This window comes from Homo sapiens, chromosome 4 (assembly GCF_000001405.40).
Source record: "Homo sapiens chromosome 4, GRCh38.p14 Primary Assembly".
NCBI classification, from domain to species: Eukaryota; Metazoa; Chordata; class Mammalia; order Primates; family Hominidae; genus Homo; species Homo sapiens.
Window position 1 is genome coordinate 173,980,914 of NC_000004.12, and position 10,818 is coordinate 173,991,731.

The 10,818-nt window shown below is 36.8% G+C and overlaps 1 long non-coding RNA gene across 3 annotated transcripts in view; it reads right to left on the bottom strand.

Annotated features, from left to right (window-relative positions):
- Positions 1-10,053, bottom strand: part of LOC105377543 (uncharacterized) — a 66,783-nt gene extending 56,730 nt beyond the window's left edge. For 2 of the 3 annotated variants that reach the window (NR_188467.1, NR_188468.1), the window contains exon 1: positions 9,794-10,053. This is a non-coding gene — a long non-coding RNA (uncharacterized LOC105377543). Of the gene's footprint in view, positions 1-1,990; positions 2,095-9,793 lie in introns of all 3 variants that reach the window. The other variant, NR_188466.1, reaches the window with a different exon arrangement.
- Positions 10,054-10,818: the final 765 nt, after the last annotated feature.

Genomic DNA, 10,818 nt, shown 5'->3' on the forward strand with positions numbered 1-10,818 from the left:
AGATTTTTAACTGTTATTCAAGGAAGGTTGTACTAATTATATTTCAGAAAATCGTTGAGACTTAGACTTTCTCTCTGCATGCGTGTGTACATGAGAGAAAGAACTTGCCTTCATGTGATTTGAGCTTGGTAACCGCATATCTAACACTTTCCAAGACCCACATTGTCAAGTACTCCATTCGCATAGGTAGATTCAAATTTACTGAACCTTGTTGTTTTTATTCAGAAAAGGAAATAAATCAACTATCATGATATTAAAACATCTTCAAGTGAGGCTTTGTTATTTCTTCTGTATCAGTTCTCTAAGTAGTGGTGTGGAGAACTCACTTTACTCTTAACTTCATCTTGATTTGATGTCTCTTTTCAACAACTGAACATTCTTCTGAATTCAGGGATCGAGATCGAGTGGTAAGTGAGCAGGGAATACCAAGATGCACCAAAATTAATAGTGGTAGGAATTCAATTCCACTTAATTTAAAAATACCTATTGTAAAAATTGCTAGGCACTCTAAAGGATATAATAATTGCAAATAGTCACTCAATCCTTAGGGAACATACAAGAAGTGAGGAGATAAACTATAGAAATAATCTACACAAGGTACAGTGTGAAAATACTTTTTAAAAAAGTGCTGGGAGAACAATAAAAAAGATAAGTTCTGAAAGTATCCTCAGACCAGTGATTCCCAGGCCAGGCCACACATGAGAAATAGCTAGGAAAATCTTTATAAAAATTGAAATTAGTACTTTCCTGGACCCACCGGTTAAGCACTTTTGGGGGGTAAAAACTGAGCATATATATTTTTTAAAACCTCTCCTGATAATTCTGAAGTACAATCAGATTTGAAAACACTAGTCCACACTATCTAAGCATAAGCTAGTTACAAAATCTTATGTAAATATATCCGTAGCTCTCTTAATTATTTTCTAAATGGGGCTCCCTCATATGGAACTGACCCTTCCAAACTTAACTTCCACTTGCAAAATTCAAAACATCCTCCAAGTAGTTCCACCCAGCTTCAATACTTTGTTTCCTCAGACCACATTCAGAATTTAATACAAACATCAAATATTTGTTGACATATATTTCCTTTTTTGCATACATTCTTAGTGATCTATTCACATGACTTATCTTGACTACACCATGATTTCAGGTAGTGGATTGTATAAATTTTTTCTTGTAGTTAGAAAATGTATATATATGCATCCATGCATGCAAACACATCCATGTATGCTGTATATACATTTTGCACATCTTCCCACATCAGCCTAGTCTTGTGTTTGGTCTGTTGTAGTGTTGAGTATCTTATTGACAAAAAAACATTAAGAAACTGCTCTTCCTGAGCGTGTTCCCAAACATTTTAGTAATAATACTGTTGACCCTTGAACACAAGGGGGTTAGGGGAGCCAAGGCCCCACACAATGCAAGGAAACCTTGCATATAACTTTTGACTCTCTGCTATAGTTTGGACATTTGACCCATCTAAATCTCATGCTAAAATTTGACTTCCAATGTTAGAGGTGGGGCCTAATTTGGGTCATGGGGATGGATGCCTTATTAATAGATTAACGCAGTGGGGTGGAGGTGAGTGTTCTCACTCTTCAGTTCCTGCAGGAGCTGGTTGTTACAAAGAGCCTGGCACTTCTCCTCACCTACTTGTTTCCTCTCTTGCCAAGCGATCTCTGCACATGCTGACTCTGCTTCATAGCAGCCTGAGGCCTCACCAGAAGCAGGTGCTGGTACCATGCTTCTTGTACAACCTGCAAAACCATGAGCCAGATAAACTTCTTTTCTGTATAAATCACCCAGTCTCACATATTCATAGCAACACAAATGGACTCTACTGTTGACTGGAAGCCTCAATGATAATATAAACAGTTGATTAACACATATTTTGTATGTTGCATGCATTATATGCTGTATTCTTACCGTAAAATAAGCTAGAAAAGAAAATGTTATTAAGAAAATCATAAGGAAGAGAAAATATATTTACTATTCATTAAGTGAAAGTGAATCATCAGAAAGGTCTTCATCCTTGTCATCTTCACATTGAGAAGGCTGAGGTGGAGGAGGAAGAGAAGGGACTAGTCTTGCTTTCTTCAGTGTGGCAGAGGCAAAAGAAAATCCACATATAAATGGACATAGACAGCTCAGATTCACATTGTTCAAGGGTTAACTATAACTCCCCACCACCCAAAGCAATTCTGAATGTGAATGATTTACTTTACTTATATTATACTTGTCAAACGTTTGGGCTATTTAAACCAAATTCCCTGAAATGTTAATGGTGAAGAGGAGTGAGACCAATTCCCAACATTTAGCAAATCATTTTTGGGCATAAGACGGGTGTGGAACCCAGGGATTGGAGAGAAGATAGCAAACAGAAGGGGAGAGAAGCAGGGGATGTGAGGATTCAGCAGAAAAGGATCATGGCTGCTTTCATGGATTCCACATCTTTCTCCCCCACTCAACAGTCTATAGACCTCACTTTTGAATTCTGGTTTCTCATTTTATTATAATAGTTTTACAATCTGTTATTTTACACCAAGATTTTTCCTTCTAGTATAATATCTGCTAAAATGTGAAGCTTATTTTTTAAAATTTGCTCAGATTTGGTATTTCCTGCTCTCTCAGAATACACTATTTCTGCTAACCTGTGTAAACTGTATAGTAATAATAAAGAAAGAGGCTGGGTGTGGTGGCTCAAGAGACAAACTCCATCAAAGGAAGAAAGAAAGGAAAGAAAGAAAGAAGGAAAGAAAGAAAGAAAGAAAGAAAGAAAGAAAGAGAGAAAGAGAGAGAGAAAGAAAGAGAAGGAAAGAGAAAGAGAAAGAAGGAAGGAAGGAAGGAAGGAAGGAAGGAAGGAAGGAAGGAAGGAAGGAAGGAAGAGCTTCCAGAGAATTGTTAAGTATAATATACTTTTTCATTAATGCATATGTATGGCCAAATGGCAATGCCAGTTCACAGAAAATAGCAACATTTTATATCTTTAAGGTCGTTAGACAAATGGATATAAAATGTTTCTGACAGTGTCACTGAGTTCAACAAGCTAGATTGGAGAAAGAGAAACATACCAAGAGCTCCCCGTGGGAAATAAATTTATCTCCTTGTGTTAACAACAACAACAACAAATCCTATGAGGCAGCTGAATGGGCTATGGAAAGAACAGAGTGGAATGCTGGCACTGTGTTCTTTTCATTGAAAACCATTATGCAGAGCCCATTAAATTCTTCCTAAGGAGAACCTTCTGCCTGGCTAAACTTGAGTTTAATCGTACCATGCTTCCAGACCATGCAGATTTCTGATCCAAAACAATTTTGTTCCCAGCCCATAACACAATTAAACACCCCTCTGCATCAAGGCACAGGAAAAAAGTACCCACGATGCAATGGAGATTACATTCTGTAAAAATTCACTAGCCAAGGAAGAATAGTGCCAATGGAAAGTTGAACATTAAAATAGTTCAAAAGGTGAATTGGGTGTTGCTGGAATATACTGTAGGGCTCTCAGTTTCCAATAGTCACCCTGGGTAAATAACATTAACTGGGTTGACCATAGTCTCAAGCTCATTTAATTTTATTTTAGCAGTTATTTTAGGTTTTCCCCTAAATGCTGTGTACATAGGAAAAAAATATGTTACTTTGTGTATTGACTGATTTCATAAAGTATTTCTTTTTTTCCCATTCAGCTCATTAGGAGAAATTTTTTAAAAAAACGGAAGTTAAGCATCAGCTCAGGAAAAGTATTTACAGATTTAATAGTCATTTGACAAATATTCAGCCAACATATATTTACCAAGAATTGGCTATGTCTAATCCCGCTTTAAAGATTACAAAATAATGCAAAGCTAGATTATGTGGTCCTTGTCCCTAAAAAGTTTTCAATCCCACCAAGGAAATACATAACCTGAAAAAATTCATGTGATAAAAGATTGCTTGAAGGATAAGATGAATTGGCTTCTATCTGCTAACTGTGTTTTGGGGGACACCATAGGATAACATCCCTCTACCAGTTGGCGTTGATGAAATGGGATGAACTTGAACTCCATTTAGCTTAAATCTCCATTTAACACTGGTTTCTTCATGCAAATCATTCAACATTCTCTTGATGTCCATTTCCTTAGCAGCTAAATGGAAATGATATCTTCTCTCATACATAAAATTTATGGTGAGATTAAAAGGTGAAATAACACATGTAAAAATGATTTTTATTTTTAATCATATAGCTTAATTTGGAGCCTAGTTTTGTTTGCTACGTACAAGGCGGTGTGCTAAGTGATTAGCAGATGTTGTGCCATCCATATTCAAGAAAATCTTTTGAATCTTACATATTGTGCATAAACCTCAGTATTTTTCCTGTCTAAAAGATGAGGAAACCGAAGCTTAAGGAAGTTAAGTGAAACATGCCAATATCCCACTGTAGTAAGGGGAAGTGTTCAAAACCTAGGTTTTTCTGAGTCCAGAGAACCCTCTTAACCAGTATGCTATATTGTCATCTTTTTTGTGCAAAAGTAGCAATTGATTTCTAAAGTATGTGTTATTAACTTCTTCTCTGAAATTCCTACACTCACTGCTAATGATCCATATTGTGAAGTCTGTACAATGTCACTATTAAAATGTCCAGACTAAGTGCAGGAGGAGACTAGGGTTGGTATTCTAGCCTTCTTCTGTTTGGAGAATAGTTTCTCAAATTGTATAATGTTGGAAGTAACAGAAAAGATGGTATTGAGGTGATGGAGCATGTGACCTAAGTGATCTGAGAAAGTGATAGAAAAAGAAGTTGGCATTCACAGGTCCCCGAGACAGGCCCCAAACAAGATCTGTCGGACGAATGTATAGGCCTTGGGTGTCAGTCTTGGACTTTAAGAGAACTCTGTGCAGAGATGGAATGCAAAGAATGTACATGAAGAAGATAGATAAATGCATAAAGTAAGTGATCCTCTAGTGATCAGAAACATTTTCCTTCACTGTCCCTATATTGCCTCTTAATTTCTGGCCTTGACCTTGTTATTAATTGGGCAGAGTGGATTATAGAGAAGACAACAATGGGAAAAGTAGCTAAGAGCAACATCACTCCTTTGGACTAGATTGAAGCTATGCAAAATGATTTTCAATAAAACCCTCTCTGCTCAGTTTTAAAAGGTACAATCGTACGTTCACATAAAATTGGCTTGTGCATAAAGAAGAGATGGGTTATAATATTTGTATATAGTAAATAACTATATTTTGAGATCTTTACAATTATAAAGGTATTCTAGCAGAATAATTTGTATAAAGTAGCTTAAGTAATAATGGCATTTCAATTAAACCTTGAATGGGTTCCTCTACAGAAATTTCTAAATATGGGGTATAATTTTGATCTGACATTCAGCCCATTGTAGGATTTACATTAAATTGTGAACCACTAGAAAATAGGAGAGTATCTCCTTTTAGTTTTGTGCAATGCTTAGTGCACCTAGAGATCTTAGTGGGTTTTTTTTTAAAGCAAGTACTAGTTTGGCTAATGAAAAATTATTTTTAAAAGATATGTCAACTAGACATCTCCAGTGTGCCATGCCCAAGATTGTATTCTTGATCTTCTTGCCAAATATGTTCTTCCCATAGTCTTCTACATCTTAGTAAATGACACATTTTGCTCAGGCCAAAAGCCTTAGAACCATCCTTAACTCTTCTTTTTGTCTCCCATCCACATCTGATCCATCAGCAAATCTTATGAATGTCTATTTGTTAGGGTATAGGCTCAGTTGCTCTAATAAGGAGATCACAAAATAGAGGCTAACAACCTTAGAGGTTTGTTCTTCCTCACGTAAGAGTTCAGGGAAGATGGTAGTCAGTGCTCCATGACGGGGACAGATCTGCCTCCCTCAAAACATTCCAAGTGCCCTGGTTTCTAGAAAGAAAGAAGGAAAAAGGAGAAGCAAATGCAGGGCAATTATCATTAGGAAGATAGCTTGGAGTCTGCACACATCTCTTCTACTTACATCTCACTGGTGAGAACCTAGTCATATGGACAATCTTTGCTACAAAGGACGCTTGGAAATGTAGTCTCTAGCTGGGCACCCATATGACCAAGAGGAAGGGGTGAACAGATTATGGAAGACAGCCTATGATCTCTGTCACAGGTTTGTATTTCCAAAATATATCTAGTCTCTAATTACTTATCACCTCATCACCCCCATCATCACACTACTAGAAGCCCCAATTGTTCACCATTGCAATATCCTCCTAACTGGCGTTTCTGCTTCTGTTCTTGCTTCCCTAAATGTATTCACAACTGCCTGTGATGATGTTAAAACACATCTGACCAAGACATTTTTTCTGCCCTTAGTCCTGCAATAACTTCTCATCTCATTATGAGTAAGAGCTCATGGTCTAGCCTCTGCTACTTCTTGACCTGAACTTCTACTCATACCAGGGGCTGCTTGTTGGTTCCAACATGTCCTGTTATGCTTCTTCCTCCCGGAACTCACAGCCATGCAATCTAACATCCTCTTCTTCCAGCTCTCCCCCAGGCTCACTCCTCAGCTTCAGGTCCTGATTCAAATGGCTCCTTCCTGGCAAGGCCTTGCCTGGACACCCTATTTAAAACTGCAGCTCTTCCATCACTTGAGACTCTAGCTCCTTTGCCTGTTTTATTTTTCTCCTTGGCTCCTTCTGTCATACTGTATATTTTACTTATTTGTCTTGTTTCTTCTCCCCTGCCACCGCCAGTTTACTCCCCAACCCCAGAAGGTTCACTCCAAGATAGCAGATGTTTTTGCCTGTTTTGTTCTTAGCATCTTATATAGCATCTGACCCCATAGTAGTTGCTCAATAAATACATTTAAGGAAATTATAGAGAGAATAAATGTGTCAGTAAACCTCAGCCATCTGATTTTCCATTTAAAGCACAACCTTGGTATAGATATCTGGAAATTAAGGAAACAATCTGATAATAATAATTAATGTGAAGCTATAAGACCAGGAACTATGAATGAGCTATGGAAGAAATCTCAGACTTGAAATTGGAAGATTTAAATTTAATTGCCATTTTGAGACTAACCTATTTATGAAATTTAACGATTAGCTTCCTCTCTTTCGGCCTCAGTTTTCTCAGCTAAGTAAAGCATAAATATGCACTTCAGAGGTATTTGGAAGCTGAAAGATGTGAAAAAGACAATGCCATATCTGAAAGTGGTCGCATATATTTATTCTTAAGTTTACAACATTTATTAAAATAGGAATATCATGGGATTTACTAATTTCAAGAAGTTCATCTGGGTCCTTTGGATAAAACAGTCTTTTTCTGTTTTATGTTTCAGATTCTAACCCTAAGGTTGTGTTGAACCTCAAAGATGCCTTGAATATATTTAGTAAAATAACTACAGTAATAGTAACTAGAAACTTTCTGTATGTAGTTAAGTATTTTCATATAAGTTATTGCATTAAATCTTCATAAAAGCCCTATAAGTACCTACAGAAACATATGATTGTTGCAGGCTTTATTAATTACAATTATAATAAAATGAAATTTAAAAATACTTCAATGTTGGCACTAAGGTACAATTAAAAAAAATTGTTTAAACATAAAATCAGTATTTTTTTCCTGAAATGGGTGGTTACTTACATGGTAACTTTTCTCCATTAATCTATTATTTCCTCAAGTTCAACCAACAAAGAATGTCATAAATTTTAAAAGTAAAAAGCAATTTCTTTCAAAATAATTCCCTCTCTTACACTATGATAAAAGTGCATGGGAAACATTACTAAATCAAAATTAACTGCTCCAGTGTCCTGCCTAAATTAGAAAAAAAAAGAACATGTATTTCTGTGCATGTTAACTACACATAGCCCCATTAATAATTTTTTGTATAGAATTTATAAGCGCAGCGAACTTAGAAAAATTAAGCAAATCATAGAGAAAATGACAGAGTTTGGAAATATCAAGGAACCAGCCCAGATTCTCTGCTAATTTAGTTTCGGGACATGAGAATAGTGCTTTTTTATCTCAGACTTGGCTCAAGCTTGGGGAAAAACATTTCCCCAGGAAATTTTAGCCCAGCTGAAGCAATTGATTTTTACTGCTTGTACCCAGCATCCTCATTTTTCAGCGCTACTCAATGCACAACCACTCAGCCATACACATTCGGATGGTTATTCAGAATTGAATCAACAACTTTGACAGAGTCAATATCTCTGCTGGCCTGTAACAAAATGGCCTTGTTATTCCAGAAGATGGACAAGAACCAGATTAGACATCCCAGTTTCCTAGCTACAGAAATTTAGACAATCAAAAACAGTGTTGGAATATCCAGTGTTTCTTAAGATACCATGGAGGGAGCACATGCTTCAAAAAGGGCATGGTGCAATTCTTCAAGAGGATAAAATGTATCATATTCTAAAAAATACCTTTAAAAATGGACAACTCAAACTTCCTGTTATTTTATGGATGAGTCTGGACACACTCACAAAACCTTTTTCTACAAAATTTTCAGTTTATCGGCCACAGTGGTGGCCATAATAAAATTCTTGACAGTATTACTTTTAACGCAAACAACAGATAACTTCAACTGATTGAAATAAAAATGTAAAAGCTCCCTGGATGTTAAAAGAATAACTGAATGGCTCCTTGCAAATCTTCTACCTAGATAAATTTTGTTCTGAATATGGAAGTTTTAGTATCACCATTACTTTCATTAAGTTTTATAATGGTAGCTAAGATAAGTCTAGCTCAGAAAATGCCAGAGTGTTTTAGGTTTAAAGGGTCACTTCCTTAATAGATTGGGGTTGTGTCAGATCTACTTTAAAATGAGATAGTACATATAAAAATACTTTGAAAAGTTAAAAGCATCACATAAAAGCAGGACCTTTCTTAGATGGAAACCCTGTTTTGGAAGCACTTAACTATAATTGCAAATGCTGATAAATGAAAAAATAGGTCACCAAAAATGCTTTCATAGGCGTTTTCTTCCCCAGTGCAAGTGCATTCACTGATGAGAAGAATCTATGCCATGCGGTAACACAGCAAGACCATTTAAATACCTATCATGTAATAAGTAATCAAATCCGAGGGCTCCCTTGGGCTTTTAGCTCCAGGATGAATTTTTCCCCACCCTTTTTGGCCCTGTGTAAATGTAATTTTGTTTTAATAATGTTTTTAAATTATGGTTGTCTAATAAACATAATTTTAAAAATTGTCCTTCAAAAAGGACTCACTTTTCAAGACTACTTTGTAAACCAGTAAGCTTCTCCTGACTTGTTCTCCTCGAAGGGTCTGGATGGTTTCATTTACTTCTTCACTTTTATAGGAAAAACAATGTAAAAAATTTTTATTATCGATAGAGCATTAAGAAACAACTTCATGCAAAACAATTAGTCTGGCCTTAGGTTGTGCCCTGTAAAGCTGTTAGATAGCTCTATCTCCCTCTACTGGCAAAGTCAGCATCCCAGATTCTGAGTTCCTTGACCCAAAGAATGTCACCCCCAGAAACAAACAAGAAAACAAACGAGAGCTGCTTCCACAATTAGCCCTAAGCCAGACAAGACTGGGAATTTTCTTCCCATCTTACAAAGAAAAAGGATTACCATGAATAAGCAGTGTTCAGAGGAAAAATGGGAACTATTTTCCTTAAACATTAAAAAAAGTACCAAGAAGATTCTTGGAGGTTAAAATGCAAGTGCACAATGATCCGTGTGCAGAGAATGTGACTTTTTTTCCAGGATAAATAAAAAAGAACTAAACAATTTGTAGAATGCAGTCACATCAAATCTGATGGTGGAGAATGTGTGTACATTTTTTAAAAAATCAAATACCTTACCTTCTTGATAAATGGCTCATAAGGGCACTACTACCAGGAGTCGCTGAAGGCAGAACCCGAGCTTAGGTATTTTAAGTGGCATTACATGTTCTCTTCAAGTTCATAGGGTTAAACAGGTAAGTGGTTTCACATGTGGTTCCTTCCTAAAAAATGAGGACAATAATGATGAGCTAGCCACTTTTTTAGAGGTGGAAAAAAACTAGTTAGAATCCACGCTCTCTGGAGACAGAGTTCTGCAGTAAGTGGAACCTTCTGACGATGGAGCCTGGAGCCAGCAGCTGGGTTCTGTCACCCTGACTGGGGCGGCCCTGTTAGTGTAGCGTGACCCCTGGCGCATTCGCACAGATAATACCGGCACCTCTTTTCACTCTAATCTCCTACCCGTCTGAGCAATTCAGCAGGAGATAGGGGCATTAAGGCCGTATTATTCCAAACAACATTTAGCTGAATGGTAGCTGAAGATTGTGACAGCAAAAGACAAATTCTCCTGGTCAAATACTTTCCTTCCCAGAAAACCTTCCTGTTTCAGTACTTTTGAGACACAAAAATGTCATTAAAATGGAACCAAAGCGGGAATCCCACACCATCCTTAGCTGAACCTAGGAAAACTTTGAAATTCCAAACAGAATTTCTTGGAGTTTCTCATGCTACAATGGCCTGTGATAAATAACACCAAATAGCCAGATAAAGAAGGAATCATTTATTCATGTATTTGCATATTTTGTTGACATTATGCCATATCTCCAGATATGGCTGTTGTTCACAAGTGAGCAGAGTTCCAGGGAGAGATGTACAGATAGCCTGTTTTTGTAATATGTATCTAAATACTTGGTGGCATGTAGCCAATCTTCCTGGAAGGAGATGGTGTTATAAGCCCATAACCTAGGTCAGAACTCTAAATGCCAATGGCAGAGTGTTGCTTTTTATGTTGGTGATACAACATCGTCTGCATTTAGATAGCTGATAATGTGTTTTCTCAAAGCTGAAGGGGCAAAAGTAAAAACTTTCTTAAATGTTTACAGATA